The sequence below is a fragment of the Homo sapiens genome, chromosome 2, assembly GCF_000001405.40.
Source record: "Homo sapiens chromosome 2, GRCh38.p14 Primary Assembly".
Classification (NCBI taxonomy): Eukaryota; Metazoa; Chordata; class Mammalia; order Primates; family Hominidae; genus Homo; species Homo sapiens.
In genome coordinates this window covers 24,206,072-24,223,747 of record NC_000002.12, presented here as the reverse complement: position 1 = coordinate 24,223,747, position 17,676 = coordinate 24,206,072, and the positions used below count along the sequence as shown (strand labels likewise).

General features: G+C 47.5%; 1 protein-coding gene across 17 annotated transcripts in view, besides 1 other annotated feature; it reads left to right on the top strand.

The window, feature by feature from the left end:
• Positions 1-17,676, top strand: part of ITSN2 (intersectin 2) — a 158,505-nt gene that overhangs the window by 137,621 nt on the left and 3,208 nt on the right. For 15 of the 17 annotated variants that reach the window (XM_047444586.1, XM_047444582.1, NM_001348182.2 and 12 more), the window contains 8 exons: positions 2,682-2,803; positions 5,735-5,841; positions 7,516-7,699; positions 11,000-11,098; positions 12,801-12,968; positions 13,715-13,930; positions 14,527-14,648; positions 15,429-15,511. In XM_047444586.1, coding sequence (XP_047300542.1) covers positions 2,682-2,803; positions 5,735-5,841; positions 7,516-7,699; positions 11,000-11,098; positions 12,801-12,968; positions 13,715-13,930; positions 14,527-14,648; positions 15,429-15,511 — 1,101 coding nt within the window. Of the gene's footprint in view, positions 1-2,681; positions 3,430-5,734; positions 5,842-7,515; positions 7,700-10,999; positions 11,099-12,800; positions 12,969-13,714; positions 13,931-14,526; positions 14,649-15,428; positions 15,512-17,472; positions 17,505-17,676 lie in introns of those variants that run through there. The other 2 variants (XM_047444587.1, NM_147152.3) reach the window with 2 other exon arrangements.
• Positions 8,581-8,650: an enhancer, noted in NCBI's record as "active region_15429". NCBI's record gives its function as "activates an Ori minimal core promoter by ATAC-STARR-seq in GM12878 lymphoblastoid cells {active_cell/tissue: GM12878}" and the evidence as "EXISTENCE:reporter gene assay evidence [ECO:0000049][PMID:35858748]".

Sequence of the window (17,676 nt, the reverse complement as noted above, 5' to 3'; positions counted from 1 at the left end):
CCCCTTACATTCACTTTTTCCTTCCTTCTCCCTGTTCCTTTCTTTTCCTTTTTTTTTTTTTTTTGAAACAGGGTCTCACTCTTATCTGGCCTGGAGTACAGTGGTGCAGTCACAGCTCACTGCAAACTTGAACTCTCAGACTCAAGCAGTCCTCCCAGCCTTAGCCTCCCAAGTAGCTGGGACTACAGGCACATGCCACCACGCCTGGCTAATTTTTTTTTTTTTAATTTGGTAGAGATGAGAGTCTCACTTTGTTGCCCAGGCTGGTCTTCAACTCCTAGGCACAAGTGATCCTCCCGCCTCAGCCTCCCACAGTGCTGGGATTACAGGCACCACAGTCTATGATTTCTTTTTAGAAACACCAAACATAACCTGCCTTATTCATTTATTTTTTTGTTCTCTGTGGGAGTAATTTCTTTAAAGCTGTTGGCAACATCTGTAGAATATAGAAAAGCTGTCTTCCTTAGAACTGTCTGTAAGCCCAGATCTATACAAAATGTATACAAATGCAAAGGAAATTGGAAAGAGCAACACGCCCTGCTGGATGGACAGTGTCCTGGCAGGTGCAGGGTGCGCCTTCGCTCTGCTGCCCTTCTTGGTTGCCTTAGCTACAGAAGGTCTTCCCTACTTCATTCGTCTCTTTCCCAGTTTTCTGACACAAGCCACTTGCTGCCTCATGTTGTAGCTTGCTGGGTACCTACATGCTGTCAACCTAAATAACGGAGAGGGAGACTCTCTAAAAGAAAGTGATATTTATTTAAGAATAGTTATTGCACCGGGCATGGGGCTCATGCCTGTAATCCCAGCACTTTGGGAGGCCAAGGTGGGCGGATCACCTGAGATCAGGAGTTCGAGACCAGCCTGGCCAATACGGTGAAACCCCATCTCTACTAAAAATACAAAAATTAGCTGGGCGTGGTGGTGTGTGCCTGTAATCCCAGCCACTCAGGAGGCTGAGGCAGGAGAATCACTTGCACCCAGAAGGCAGAGGTTGCAGTGAGCCGAGATTTGCGCCATTGCACTCCAGCCTGGCTGACACAGGGAGACTCTGTCTCCAAAAAAAAAAAAAAAAAAAAAAAGAAAAGAAAAATAGTTATTGTAATGGGAATATGCATACCAACAGGTGCATATTCAGAGAACTAAAGGAGGACAAAAGTTTTTAAAGGAAAAATGAAGAGGATCACATAATTTTTTTAAATATATAATTATCCTTGGCCGTGAGAATCAATAAGGGTGGCACTTGTCCGAGGTTGGACAGGCAGTTGCTGGGCAGATAACCTTGCAGGACTATTTTTTTGTGTCAGGTCACCATGGCCTTTATGTAAGTTTGTGGTTTTGCAGTCTTTTGTGATAGTTCTAGTTATCAAGTATTCATGGATGAGAACTCTCTCTTCATGGCCTTCCCTGGCCCTTTGTCAGGATTTTTAACACAAGTGACTCCATTTTGATTCTGACAACTTCCACTGCTTTTGCTTTTTTTTTTTTTTTTTTTTTTGGAGATGAAGTCTTGCTCTTTTGCCCAGGCTGGAGTGCAGTGGTGCGATCTCGGCTCACTGCAACCTCCACCTCCTGGGTTCACACCATTCTGCTGCCTCAGCCTCCTGAGTAGCTGGGACTACAGGCGCCCACCACCACGCCTGGCTAATTTTTTGTAATTTTAGTAGAGACGGGGTTTCACCGTGTTAGCCAGGATGGTCTCGATCTCCTGACCTCGTGATACACCCACCTTGGCCTCCCAAAGTGCTGGGATTACTCCCAAAGGTGTGAGCCACCATGCCCGGCTGCTTTTGCTTTTTTTTCTAAGAAGGGTTTCCTGAGGTATTTCGCCACATCACTGTGTATAGGCAAGCCCTCAGCTACTTGTTAAGTGACTCTGGAATTATGTCACTTCATAGTTTGACATCTAGTTCAGCTGTGATGTGCCTGTGAATTGATCCATAGTGAATGCAGTACCTCTCACCCTGATGCAAGGTTGCTTGTGACTTTCCTGTCATTTGTGGCTGGATATCTGCAGTGTACCAGGAGTTATTTGTTCTAGTGAGATGAGGCAGTGGTCTTCTGGGAATTGCTGGGATCTGGGAATTTCAGGTTTTATAACCTTAGAACTTTCCTTTAAGAAATCTAGAGACTGTTTCTCAAACATTTTTTTAACAGTAGCTCACAGTGAGAAATACATTTTACATTTCGAATACATACATAACTAAACATTTCACAATATTTACCAAAGCCATATGCATGGTAATTTCTATTTATTTATTTTTTAATGCTGGGCCTGACCAGCATTTTAAAACCAAAATGATATAATGACCCACTAATGGCTCATGACCTGCAGTTTGGAGTGGTCTGAAGCATCTGATTCATTTAATCATTTCAGTAACTTCGAAAAATGTCTTGAGGTGGTGAGATTCTTCACACGCTCTGCACAGTTCTGAAAAGAAATTAGGAGCACATTGAAATGTTACAGACATTGCTGATTTGCCACTTTGGAGCTGTGAGTGCCGGCTCATTAATGCCAACTCTCCGCGTACGCATGCTGCTCTGCAGAAGTTAGCAGCGTCCTTTTTAAGGCTGCGTCATTCTTTCAAAGCAGCATTTGTAAACCCAGCACATCTGCTGACAAATGTCTATTTTCTACAAAGTTGACTAAAGTAATATTTTAAACTACCCTGTTTTTTCCACAGGGTGTGCTGATCTGCAAACCCTGGACACAATGCAGCCAATTGAGAGGAAAAGACAGGGCTATATTCATGAGCTGATTCAGACCGAAGAGCGGTACATGGCTGACCTTCAGCTCGTCGTCGAGGTGAGGAGGCTGCTGCTGGCTAGCTCTCGGGGTATCTGCTGTCTCTCATGAGAGATGGTGGGCATCAGACTCAGGGCTGCCTCCACGCAGAGTCAAAGCAAGGCATCACTTTTGATGTGTGAATTCACAAATAGTGACGGAAGCTCTCACATCCTCCAAATGCTGTCTCTGCCTGCCGGATAATGCTTGAGATTGAAAGTCTCTAATGAGCTCTTTCCCCCAGATGAGGTCACTCAGAGTGAAGCGGGAGAACAAGAGGGCATTCGCATGGCTTCGTTGGATGTGGCAGGAGCCCCATCAAGGAAGGACGGGGATAGAGTGGATGGGAAGGGCCTATGGCAGACCGTAGCTTCCTTGGATATTTGCCTAATATCTGTTTTAACATCTGACATTTTCATAAACTGGTATCTCTGGAGGAACTGTGAAACAGTGAAAGTGTTCACCTCATGGTTGTATCAGTTTGGAAAACCCAATGGGAGCATATTGTAAAATAGTTCCCAAATATCATATAGCTACTGTTTGTTTATACCAGTGACCTCTACGCTGATGACAGCTATCCTTATTCGAGTAGCACTTTAAAATGATTTGTGCTTGAGTGAACAAAAGAAGACTTTCCATTTCTACTATACCTTTGTTTCCATGCCTTTCAGTTCCCAGTGTACAGGCCCTCAGGTGAGAAGACCAGTTACATTAACAAACCACCTGAAAAGAACAGGCGTCCCCTACCCCCACACACCCAACAGGTGCAGCGTATACCTGGCCATGCCTTTCATAGCTGAATGGAGCAGAGGCTGCGTCCTTCTGCGTCTGTTCCCCAGCAAGCCCTGCCCTGGATTCACTCTCCACCTTAAACGCAGGCCTAATGCCTGGGATATCCAGACATGGAATACTTGTTCCCCTCCCATGCAAACTATATGGCACTTCTCGGTTGGTGATATCTATCTTCACTGCACGCCTGTGGGCTCACTGAGAACAGGGACCGTGCAGCCTTCATCCTGTGTTCCCAAAACTTAGCCTGGCCCTTGGTCGGCCTTTCCATAAGTAGTCAGTGAATTGGGTGTGTTTATGTCTGCACCTCTCTGGCCAGGATAGATGGCCTAGAAGAAAAGCCCATCATTTTGATTAATCCCCTACAAGGATCAGCCCTGCTGCTGGTCAGATTCCAGTCCTAAGGCACTGTAAGTAGGTGTGGAGGTCTCCCTAACACTAGGACAGAGGTGAGCAGGCACCGGGTGCTTGCCCCATACTCTGAGGAGTGAAGCATCAGGTCTGGGTCCAGGATTCTGGGTGAAAAGCACCATTCACAGGTGAGGCCTTCTTATGACCATCCTCATGAAGGTTCCCAGAGGCCTGACCAGCTTATTCCCATCTGCTTACCTCACCAAGCCCGGCACAAAGCAGCTACATGGATGGCTAGAGGGGCATGAATGAATCAGCAAATAAACAAACAGATGGACAGCCAGACTCTTCCCTGTCCCTCCATAGCAGCCTCCGAGCAGGCCGGCCGTCTTTCCAGGGCTGCTCTCACAGGAGTGGCCTAGTGTCTTCAGTCTGATTTGGAACTGTAAAACTCTCTTTAGAGAGTGCCCAGCACTTGTACTTGAATTCTGTGAATCCATGTTCAACTCAACTCTGTAAACATGAATTACAAACCACGATGTGCAAAGGGCTATGCCAGAGAACAGAGATGAAAGAAAGTTCTTGTCCTCCAGGAATTCAGAGTCCTGTTGGATGGAGAGAGGTACAGTGGGGCCAGTAAGGCTGAAACCTGGGGTTAGTGACCACCCCAGCCAGGAAGAACTTTCCCAGTTATGTTTTGGACAAGGACAAGTTTGCTACTCCAGGAGGAGGAAACAGAAGTGGGATGGCATGTATGGAGGGAGTCAGGGGCCTACAGGCCATCCAGGGTGACTGGAGTGTGAAGTAGCTGAGGGCCAGGCTGGTGAGGTTGGCAGGGGGCAGGTCTCATAGGCCCTGGAACCTCCAGGAGGAGTCTGTGTCTTATCACACGGACAGTGGAGAGCTTTGAGTGATTCTAATAGCAGCATGTCATGGGCATTTTGGAAAGATGACATATGAGAAGAGTGTCTCAGGTAACTTCTCTATTTCCTTAAGGTGTTTAAAGTCATTCCCTAGGAATCTCAGTTATGCAGTTGAAACTTAGATTTAGAATCAAAAAGAGCTGAATTTTAGTCCTAGGCCTTTCATATTCTGTCTTTGTGATCTTGAGCAAGTCTCCCTCTAAGCCTTTATTTCTTCATAGGTCAATTGGTAATAATAATACCTGACTCAGCTTCGCCTCCATCACCCGTGAAGCTACTTGAGAACCCTGCAAACACACACGCGTGTGTGTACACACACACAAGCATCTGCATATTTGTACATATCAGTGCTTTGTAAATCCTTAAGTGCTATGTAATACAGATGTAGAGTATTACTATTTCTCCCTCAGCAGCCAACTTCTAAAACCCACATCTGCTTAGAGTTATCTTAGGGGTGGCATAAGTTGTTACTCTGGTTCTCCTGTTGAATGTCTCACAAATTGTTGTCTAGAACTCTACGATGCTCCACCTAACAATGGCCTGCTTCCTCAATCCTGCAAGCTTGTACAGTGCCTAGGTGTTCATGCCCATGGCTTTATTTAACCTTCATAACATCCCTAAGAGAGAAATCTGAAAATCTCCTCTTAACCAGATTACTAGATTCAGTCCTTGGAACTAGCCTTGATAAGAGCTGCACTAGCAAAAAGAAAGAACATTATGCAGTATAAAATGTGTCATAAGTATGCTTATTTGGATGATTAGCTTCAGTTTATGTTGACATTATTTGATCTGATTAGTTTCAGTTTATGAAGACATTGTTTGATTTAGACCACACGTAGGCTGTGTATCCACACTTAAGCTAACTAGTTTTTCTATGTTTTGACTTTAGGTTTTTCAGAAACGCATGGCAGAGTCAGGCTTTCTCACTGAAGGGGAGATGGCCCTGATTTTTGTTAACTGGAAGGAGCTCATCATGTCCAACACAAAGCTGCTGAAGTGAGTCCTGAGCATCACCTGTCATTGCCGCTGACCCCAAAGCCCCCAGACTGAGACTCACACAAAACCCTCTGCAAGGGCTTCTTAGCAAAGGAACTTCAACTGCTTTCTGCTTCCTCAGGCTTGTTATTTTATTATCATTTTATGAAATATCCTGTGACTGTAAAATACATAAGTATTGAAGAAAGTAAAGAAATATAACAAAATATTTTGATAAAGAAAAAATTAAATCATTAAACAACATATCAATCTATGATTCCAAGATATAAGATGTCCTTGACCCTGGCAGGGCAGAAGAGTCAGAGGAGAGCTGCAGCTCACGGCGCAGATAAAACTGCCTAGTTTGGTGGCCTCCTAAGTCTCTATCCCCATGTGAAGTTCTACTGTTGGGGTGATTTTCCATCCTTCGTGGCTGTGAGGACAGGCCCCCCAAGGGAGGATGAGCAGTCCCAGCTTCCCTCAGGGATAGTGCCTCTCTGCCTCCACACCTGGCCCCTGCAGCTCCTGCTCCCTTTTTTCTCTTACAGACTGAAAATTTCCTTCTTGGTTCAACCAAGAACAAGTTAGAATCTTTCAAAAGAAACTTTGCCAAGAAGCTAAGGTGAAACCAAAACAATTCTAAAGGCCTTGAAACACCCAAGTGTATTTTTTTTTTTTTGAGATGGAGTCTCACTGTGTCGCCCAGGCTGGAGTGCAGTGGCACAGTCTCAGCTCACTGCAACCTCCGCCTCCTGGGTTCACACCATTCTCCTGCCTCAGCCTCCCGAGTAGCTGGGACAACAGGCACCCACCACCACACCTGGCTAATTTTTTTTTTTTTTTTGAGACGGAGTCTCGCTCTCTCACCCAGGCTAGAGTGCAGTGGCGCGATCTCGGCTCGCTGCCAGCTCCGCCTCCCGGGTTCACGCCATTCTCCTGCCTCAGCCTCCCGAGTAGCTGGGATACAGGCGCCCACCACTGCGCCCGGCTAATTTTTTGTATTTTTAGTAGAGATGGTGTTTCACTGTGTCAGCCAGGATGGTCTCAATCTCCTGACCTCGTGATCCACCCACCTCAGCCTCTCAAAGTGCTGGGATTACAGGCGTGAGCCACCATGCCCAGCTACCCAGGTGTGTATTTTTTAAATTTATTTTTATTTTTATTATTTTTAGAGGCAAGGTCTCACTCTGTCACCCAAGCTGCAGTGCAGTGGTGTGATCGTAGCTCACTGCACCCAACTTGAACTCCTGGATTCAAGCAATCCTCCTACCTCAGCCTCCGGAGTAGCTGGAACTACAGGCGTGCACCACCATGCCCAGCTAATTTTTCATTTTTGTAGAGACAGGGTCTCACTATGTTGCCCAAGCTGGTCTCGAACTCCTGGGCTCAAGCAATCCTCTTGCCTCGGCCTCCCGAAATGCTGGGATTAGAGGCATGAGCCACCGTGCCCAGCCCACCCAACTGCAGGGACTTTATTTACTTTTTTTTTCTTTGCTGACATCACACCCCGGTTGGCTTGACCAGCAGAGCTTTTGGCCCAAGCTATCTCCTCTTCCTCTTGAGTTCTCCTTCCCAGTGCCAGAGGTTCTTAGGTAGCTCACTGGTTATCATTACCATTGGTCTGCCATGGGATTCATCCTTTAATTACCTAAGTCATTCACTTAGAAACACAAAATGAGAGTGTGTTCTTGGCAGGGCTTTGCGGGTGCGGAAGAAGACCGGGGGCGAGAAGATGCCGGTGCAGATGATTGGGGACATCCTGGCCGCTGAGCTGTCCCACATGCAGGCTTACATCAGGTTCTGCAGCTGCCAGCTTAATGGAGCAGCTCTGTTACAGCAGAAGACAGATGAAGACACAGATTTCAAAGAATTTTTAAAGGTAATTCCATTCTGGGCCTTGCGGGTCAGGCTCCTTCTGAGGCTGGAGGCAACAGCACACAGTAGCCCAACAGGGAATCCCAGCAATGGAGAAGGGCATCCCCATCAGTTTCCAAAGGAAACACCAAAACGGCAGAGAATTTTCCGATTGTTTTGTGTTGCCTTTATGTAGACCTGATTTTTTCCTGGCACTGGGACCATCATTTTTTCCCCATCTGATAGCAGAGTGTTTTTTTTTAAGCATACTTACTTATCAGCTACTTTATACTCCCAAGAAACAACCAGAATGTCACTTTCTTAATTTTGTAAATTGCCTTCATTTAATACCTGCCTTATTCCAGAAAGAGTATAAAATAGCTTACTCTTTTTTTTTTTTTTTTTTTTAAACAGAATCTTGCTCTGTTGCCCAGGCTGGAATGCAGTGGTATGATCTTGGCTCACTGCAACCTCTGCCTCCCAAGTTCAAGAGATTCTCCTACCTCAGCCTCCAAAGTAGCTGGGATTACAGGCATGTGCCACCACGCCTGGCTAATTTTTGTATTTTTAGTAGAGACGGGGTTTCACCATGTTGGCCAGGTTGATTTCGAACTCCTGACCTCAGGTGATCGGCCCACCTTGGCCTCCCAAAGTGCTTGGATTACAGGTGTAAGCCACCGTGCCCGGCCCTAAAATAGCTTACTCAAATATATAAAATGCAACAAGATAAAATTTAAAATAACTAGATGAATAAACTTGGACAAAAGGAAATGAGAGTAGGAAACAAAGACGATACCAGGAATTAGGATAATATATAAAATGCATATCTGTGATCCTGTAAATATACCAGAAGTGTGCACAGATGTCATCAAAGCTTCCAGAAACTGATGAGCAGAAGAAGAAAGGATCAGTTCCGTGATGCCACGTCACAAGTTAAACATGAGAAGTAAAGCTACAGCTGTACTCAGAGAGAGAACACTGTGTATAATGTAATGAGTCAACAACATCCTTCGTACAGGTTATTATAATAGAAAGTCATATTTTGAGAAGTTATTTGCATTGATGTTGTTCAGTAGTAGAAACTATTATTATACCTGTTAAAATGGTGAGGAAATTGAAAGTAAAATCTGTTTTCTTGCTTTTTTTCATATTTCCTGTTGGGTTTTTTTGTTCATGAAATACTGCATATTGGGATATATTAAACAGCCATATCAGTACTTAAGGAGAGTATATAATTTAAATATTTTCATTATCAGAAAAGAGTAGAAAGTAAGAATAAAATATAAAGATGTTTAGGCAGAGAATAGAAATTAGAAAAGGAAAATGGAGGAAGTAATAAAGGTAAAAAGCACAAATTATATCAATATATCCAAGAACTGTTATATTGAAGAGAGGTAATAAAATGTAACTGATGAATCTAATAGAGAAAGAGGAAAAAACACAAGTAACAGAATGGATGTAAGGAGATCTCTTAAATTAAAGTGCATGTAATTCCAAAAGACATGCTAACAAATGTGAAAACATGAACAAAATTTGTAATTTTCTATTAAAACTTGAAAACTGGCTCAATAAGAATAGAAAATCTTTTAAAAATAGAAAATCTTACTATTACGATACTATACACCAAGGAGAAAATTGAGAAACTTACCCCAAAAAGGAGCTGGGTTCACTTGATGGATTTAACAGGGAATTCTCTCCAACTCTAAAGGAACAGATTATTCTATATTATACAAACTGTTACAGATCATAGGAAAAAGTAAAAAGGTCACCTAATTCATTCTATAAAGCAAAAGTAGCCATGATTCCAAGGCCTGTTTAAGTTAAAACCCACTATCATTTACAAATACAGCTGTTAAACTCTTAATTAAAGTAACAATTCATAAAATTAAGCATTACATGAAAAGAAGAGCCTATCATAACCAAATAGGATTATCTCAGGAGGCTATAGCATACTATGCTTAGAACAAGACAGGCTTCAGAATCTCGGCCCCGTCACTGTCTAATTGTGTGACCAGAGGCAAGTTATTTAACATGTGGGTGCCTTCAGTCCCCTCATCTATAAAAGGAGATTATCACACAGTACTTTTAAAGGACTTTAACTCAGAGACCAACACATTACTATTAGCATTCAATAAATGATTATCGTATTTTTCCTTACGATGATCTCAGGGATGCAAAAATGATTCAATATAAGGCAGTGAGGACAGAGCCCTTCGATTTGTGATAAGGGTAGGAGGCAGGGAGTTGCCTCGAAATGAACTGGAAGAAACATGGAAACCAAGACCATAGAATTAAACATTCATCAGAATAATGAGATAAACTGAGAATTGTTAGTATATGTGCATGTTTTAAAATAATGATGTAAATAGGATTTCAAAGTCATCACAATTGTAACAGTAGTCAAAATAAATAAAAATACTGCCTCATGAAAGGCCTGCTATAGGTTACCTTAAAAAGCAAAATCTAGCAATAAGCTGTGTTCTAAAATGTTACTTTTTAAAAAGACTCAGAAAATATGGAAATAAGAAGCACGAAGATGCTTGTGACAGCAACCTATATAGATACGGCCAAAACAAAAGGGGGGCAATTTAAATATCCAGTAGTGGGGAAATGATGAGGTGGATTACAGTGAGTGTACTTTTCAGTCATTAAAAGCTGCCATCCTAGAGCAGCAGCTGCTGTCTTCAGGCAGTGTACCAGAGCTAGGGGTAGAGGCAAGTAGGATGTGGGCCCTGGGCCTGGCGTTCACAAATCGGGTGTGGAATAGAGACACTGCAACACGATGCCTCTCCCTGTATCACCTGGTGCACATGTGGTGTATGCTAAAGGTGGCCAGGGAGGGTCATGGAAAGGAGGGAAGGTGTCCCAGGGGAGAGCCTGGACAAGGGGAAGCAGGGCCTGAGTCTTGAGGGTCAAGTGTGAATCAGCTCCGAGAAGAGAGGGCAGGGGACAGTCCCAGCACAGGTCATGGGAAAGAGCTGAGGAGCATCCGCTGGGCTTGGCACATGAGCTGAGATATTCCTACTGTGAACCTAATAGGTATCATTTTAGATCCTGAGTTATTTAAAAGAAAGTCGAAGCCCCCTCACTTTACTACAGTGCGACATATCAGTGTAGCAAAATTACACTTGTATGTTGTGAATATACACAAATTTTAAAATAAAAATAAAAAATAGAACACTCACCTAAAAAAAATTCTAAAACAGTAAGACAGGGAGAAACATAAATAAATAAAAGAAATGTGAAATCTAAAAGGCGATCAAAGACCAGTGCTTCCTGTGATCGGAGCTGTGATTTCCTCACGAGCCTCACTGTTGTTTTGCAGAAGCTGGCATCTGACCCGCGGTGTAAAGGAATGCCCCTCTCCAGCTTCCTGCTGAAACCCATGCAGAGGATCACCCGCTACCCACTGCTCATCAGAAGTGTGAGTGTGCAGGCCGGGCAGTGGGGTCTGAGTTAGGAGCAGGATGCGCTGAGGTCCACAGAGGCCAGATCCTCAGGGAGCCCTGAGCATGCCACCTCACCCTGCACACAGTGTGACACCGCACAAGTGATCCCACTGTCCCGGGGACCAGATGCCTGTGTGTGTGTGTGCACAGAAACACGCTGAATCCTTGAAGTGGGCAAATCAGAGAGGAATCCAGTATCACTTGGGTAACCTGTCACCCACCTTTCAAGAAACTCCCCAGCATCTCAAAGTCATAAGTATACTTGTCCAGGCAGGGAAAGGCCCCTCTAGGTCTCCAGTTGTGGAGCCCATCTTGAACCCAGAGAAAGACCAGAGTAACCTTAGACTCCAGTCTTTCCTCTGAGATCTGCCTCCATCCACCCTGAACACCTTTCCTAGATGTCCCAGGAGGCTCCACTTGGCACATCATAAATAGAGTTCATTTGTGTCCCTCGCTGTATTCGGCTTCAACATTCCTTCTAAAATTCCTTCCAGCTTTCTTTTTGATAAGCAATAGGGCCCTCTTGAGCCCATAAGCCTTCTAAGGAAAAGGCAGACTTTACAAAAGATTATCCCACGATTAACCATTGATTACAGTAACTTACAAAGAAAAGCAGCAGGAATATGATAAGCTTGTTACTTCTATTGATGATTCCTTGACTTTTGGTCTGTTAGCTGTGTGACCTCAACATAGACCTCATGTGATAGACGCCTGCACTAAACTGAACCATAATGCAGGTTCACAGCCCCTTCATTGAAATACTTGGGGCCAGATGTGTTTCAGAATTCGGAATGTAGCTCAAATACCATATAATATATGACTCCTCAACTGAGCCTTAGGGTAGCACTTACAACCAGACACACTAATATTCCTACAGTGGAACATAAGAACAATCACTGTAAGAGTAAGTAAATATATCTCTTCTGTTTAGGTCAGATTTTGCCACCAAATGGGTACTGAATAAAAACTTTAGGCTCTCAGGCTGTTCTGCATTTTAGAATTGTAAATGAAGGACTGTGCACTCATCTGACTAGAGTGAGAGAGTCCAGACGGGGCATCTGGTGATGGCTCCTAATTTCTGGAGGGACCACACACGTTTGTATTCTGGCCTCTGCGCGTTCACAGTTGCAGCATGCGTCGTTTGAAATCGCTTCAGAATGAACAGAATGCATTTCTTCCACATGCTGACAATGTGATTTTATTGTATTTTTCCTGTGGCATGGGAGTCATTGCTTTCATCAGATTTTTTTCAAAAGGATCAGTGACCCCAAAATTGTTATGAACCATTGCTATTCAGCAAGTTCACACTTACCACAGCTGCAGCCAGTTTATACAGGAGGGCGCACCCTTACATGGCTTAAATTTCGGAAGGAGTCGGGAGGCTCCCGCCTATTACCGGGAGCCAGTCGGAGAGCAACCAGAGACCCACACAGTTCAGAGCACTTGATCCGTTTAGCACTGTCACCTTGTCACAGCAGCGTTACCTGTCCCTGTGTCCCCAAGAACTTGTGGGAGTACGAGTTTCTCAAGGGCGGAAAGTGTCGTCTTGTTCACCGCCGCGTTTCCAGGGCATGGAAGCAGTCCATAACATGGGGTTGGAGGAGCGGTCCTGCGAAGGTCCAGGTGGGCAGGTGAGAGACGCAGCTCCCCCATGTGACACTGCCCACTCTTTTCCAGATTCTGGAGAACACCCCGGAGAGCCATGCAGACCATTCCTCCCTAAAGCTGGCCCTCGAGCGGGCAGAGGAGCTGTGCTCTCAAGTGAATGAGGGAGTTCGGGAGAAGGAAAACTCGGACCGACTGGAGTGGATCCAGGCGCACGTGCAGTGTGAAGGCCTCGCGGAGGTCAGGCCTGTGTGGTTAAGCCGTGCGCCTCCAGGGAGGCTCTGGGTGGGGAACCAGCTCCGAGCCTTCCCTCACGTGGACAGTCTGCACCTTAGGCAGCCTGCGTGGACTCACCACCCTGCCCCTGCAAAGGCATTTTTTTTTCTTTTTTTTTTTTTTTTTTTTGAGACGGAGTCTCACTCTGTTGCCCAGGCTGGAGTGCAGTGGCGAGATCATCTCGGCTCACTGCAAGCTCTGCCTCCCGGGTTGGAGCGATTCTCTGGCCTCCATCTCCCAAGTAGCTGGGACTACAGGCATCTGCTACGATGCCCAGCTAATTTTCGTATTTTTAGTAGAGCTGGGGTTTCACCATGTTGGCCAGGCTGGTCTTGAACTCCTGGCGTCAAGTGATCCTCCCGCCTCTGTCTCCCAACAGTGCTGGGATTGCAGGCATGAAGGGCATTCCTTCTTGGATTGTCATCTTCCTTTCTCCTAAGGAGAGAACACTGGGATTTTTTGTTTTGAGTTCTTTGAATTCAGCTGGTAGAATCAGTGTTCTGTGGCTAGAAGTAATGATTTTCACTGGGCCAGTTTGGACTCTGAAGAGTAATGTATTTAAGGATCTTTCATGCAAAGTGAATGATTCTAGCCACATTCCCACCTAGAAAACTCCACCACAGTATCCTCAGGCCCAGGGCACTGGCCTCTCAGGGGCACTGGATGGTTTGTGCCGGGATTTAAAAAGTGAAATTTTCTTTCTCTTTAAGCAACTTATTTTCAACTCTCTCACCAACTGCCTGGGGCCCCGGAAGCTCTTACACAGTGGGAAATTATACAAGACCAAGAGCAACAAGGAACTGCACGGATTCCTCTTCAATGACTTCCTGCTTCTTACCTACATGGTCAAGCAGTTTGCTGTTTCCTCTGGCTCTGAGAAACTTTTCAGCTCGAAGTCCAATGCTCAATTCAAAATGTATAAAACGGTGAGTATCACGCGTCTGGGGGTAGCATCAGGGGCCTAATGAGGTGTTGCCTCTATCTTAAGGCCTTCCTGGCAGACCCTGAGCTGGCCTTACGGGACCCTCCTCACCTGGTTCCAGATCGCTCGTGCTTCCTTTGCTGCTTCCCACGGGAAGGGCCCCATGCAGCTGGGCACTCCCCACCTGCCACAGGCCATCAGCCAGATTCCAGCTGAGATTCTGGCTTCCTCCTGGCCAGCGTGACACCTGGGCTCACCACTGTGTGCATTCAGCATTGGGTCTCTGTAAGCCGAGCCCCAGCACAGCACCAGCGTTGCTAGCAGAGAGCCTTTTGCACCAGCCGTCATGGGCGCTTGGAGCTCCTGTCCCCACCCAGTCCCAACACCTGACCCACCTCGATAATGACTTTTCCAGAAATGGAGGCTTCATTGTTCTTACAAATGGAGGTTTCATTTGTTCTGTGTAGAAGACCTTAGACGCTAGACCCCTTTCTCCTTCTCAACAAGGCTCTTCAGAACAAACAGAACTCTCTCTGGACATAGGCGGGTGGAGTGTTCTAGCCCATCTCACAGCCTGTGTTTTGGCCCTAATTCTTTCAGCCCATTTTCCTGAATGAAGTCTTGGTGAAACTGCCCACAGACCCTTCCAGCGATGAGCCTGTCTTCCACATTTCCCACATTGATCGGGTCTACACCCTCCGAACAGACAACATTAATGAGAGGTCAGTCCTGACCATGTGTGGCCTGCCTTGAACTCTGGGAGAAGGCCTGGACGTCTCCCTCTGCCATAAACCCATCTCCAGCCGTGCTTAAGCCCCACTAATTCTGTATCCTGAACCTCTCTTAACACATCCCCTCTGCTCCAGTCCCATGGTAGGCCTTGGTCACTGCAGCTGCCTCCTAACATGCTTCCCGGCTTCTAGTCTCTCCCCACACCACTCAGCAGCCTTCCCAAATGGCAGATCAGCACCTGAGGCCCTGCTACAGTCCCTGCAGGGGCTGCCCGCAGGCGACAGCCCACTGTGCTTTGCTGGTTTCCGAGGCCTCCTTGGGCCACAGGCCTCAGCCCTCGTCCCTCCACCTGCAGACTTTCGCCCCTCAGGCGCCCTTGTGTGGGTGCCATCCCCGCTGTTCCCAGCTTCCTTCAGGCTGCAGCTCCAACAGTGCCTCCGCGGCGCCAACCCGGGGGGTGCTGCTGCTCCTCTGTGTGCGCTAGAACCCCTCGTGACAGGTATCATCCGTGGGGCCAATGCATCATCTGTCTCCAGGTCCCAGCGCCTTGCGAGTGCCTGGCATTTTGTGGTCAGCCAAGAAGGGTCACTACCAGCTCTCATACTCCATTAGCATAAGCATCTTTCAGTTGACTAATATCAGGTCTTTGATAGGAAACTTGTGAAAGTTGAGGTTAGCAAAAGACTGAAGAACATGTGCAGAGCTCTGGGGCTCCACGCTGACCTGTGAGGGTGGGATGCGGCCAACGGCTGCCCCTGCTTCTCCCGTAGGACCGCCTGGGTGCAGAAGATCAAGGCGGCGTCTGAGCAGTACATCGACACCGAGAAGAAGAAGCGTGAGAAAGCTTACCAAGGTATCAGGGTGCCCGGAGGGTGGGACGCAGCCCCCAGGGGCCCTAGGAATGCCGGCCACTGCTCCTGCAGTCAGGCTGATGATATAGGGACGGGTCTGAAAGACCAGACCTGCTGCGGGATCAGACCAGAGAGCCCTCCCCTCTTGAAGCTACTACTGCAAACCTCCCTGGGGCTCCTGCCCACACAGACACGGGCTGGCAGTGCCAGCTCCGGGACCTCCCTCTCTGCACCACCTCTATCCCCCCCACTCCACTGCACCTTCTCCACTCCTTTCTCTCCATGACTCACCTCACCTCTGCTTGGGCTGTGGTGCTCCATTACATGCCACACCTGTGGTCTGTCTCCCTTCAGCTCCTGAGCAGCCACTGCTCCTCCTCACCCTCCTCTAGGGCCTGCCATCCACCCTCTCCCTTTGCAGCCAGGGGGCCTAGACCCTAAGTCTGCCCTCTCCCCATCCTTCTGCCCCTGCCTCCTCCCCCTTCTCACTTCACCAGACTTCAGTCCACGTCCTGTCCCCACCAGTGACACCAGTGGCCTAGTTAGTGGCTCAGCTCACTTTCCCTGCCCCAGCTCCCTGCACTGATGGCAGTCACTGAGGCGCTGCCTTCCCTCTGGACCCCATGGCCGCCTTCCCAGTTCTTCTTCCACCCTTGCCCAGGCCTCTCCCCGACCTCTGTAGCGCTCTCCCTCGGGGACCCCACCGACCCCCAGCTTCAGGGTCAGGCTAGCCACACTCTCCCAAGCCCGCGCCTCTGAACAGCACCCTCCAGAGAACCACCTGCCCCGCTGCTCCCACATCACACATCGGCTTTTCCCAAGGGACCACCAGCCTCCTTCCAGCAGCAGCTCCTCCTGGGACCCTCTGTGGACAGTAGTGTGGTCCCTGGCCACCCAGGCCCCTCCCTGGCACCTCACACCTGGTCAGCTGCACTGCAGTCCTCCTCCCTCGCCACTTTCCCATCGCCCTTTCCTGTCCCCGTATCACAGGCCCCCGATCTCCCACCCAGGCTGCAGCACAAGGCTCTCTTTCCTCTCTGCCACCCATCCTCTTCATTTCTGGAGTATTCTTTTTTCCAGAGCTGCTCTTATACCTCTTCCTGCTGAAGTATCTTCCCTATTGCCTCCCAAATTAACGACACATTTCTTACCCCACACTCAGGGCCCATCCCCACTACTACCTGCCACCCAGCCCCATCCCTAGCTCTTTCCTGTGCCCGGCCCATCCAGCTGCCTAGTTGAGCAGCCCATTGTTGCCCTGCCTGGCCTTCCCATGTGAGCTCCCCCTCCAGCTCAAGTGCTCTGCCCTCACCTTAAATTCTTCCCATCCTTCAAGGCCCACGTCAAACACAGCCTCCTCCATGACACCCTCTTGCCCTAACCAGTGTGACTTCTACCTGGACCCCCCGCTGTCCTGAGGCTGCGATCATCCTCCGGGCGCTCATCCTCTGTTGCCTCTGCTTGCGCCCTCTCAGTCCCTGCTTTTCTCACTTAATGGCCATAAGCTCCCTCAAGGCAACTCCCTCCCACATCGGGGCCAGCATGTGACTTATGCCAGTGGGGCTCCAGATTTGTTGCACCGGTGATGTCCTCTGTGTTCATGGCACAGATCACTCACCTGCTCAGTGGAGCCGCAATGGTCTTTGTAAAGCACCCCCCACCCCACCCTGCCCCACCGTGGCCTTCAGACCAGAGCTCCCACATTCTTCTCCAGCCTCCACATGAATGCCAGGCCCCAACCTCCCTGCTGCATCTCCAGCTGTGCCAGGCCAGCCTGTGGCCTCCACCCCACAGGGGGCCTGTGCTCTGAGCCAGCTGCATCTCCACCTTCCTCCCCGCCGGCCCCCTGCATCTCCACCTTCCTTCCCGCCGGGCCCCCCCATGCAGCCTGCCCTCCTGCCTGGGCCTCCCACCAGCTTCCTGGCTGCTATAGTTGCAGCTCTTTATGTGTTTTTTTATTCAGGTTTCCCCCATTTTGTTATATACTCCTAAAAGGTATGTTTAAAACAGCTTTTGCTAATTTAGTGTTATTTTAATGGTACTTTAAAAGCTTGCTGTTGAAAAATCAATGATTGATCATTTCATAACGCATATGATCTCTTAATTGGCCAAAGATGTCAATCCGGTTTTTCTGCCTGAGTTTTGCTTCCCATCAGCATCTGCATAT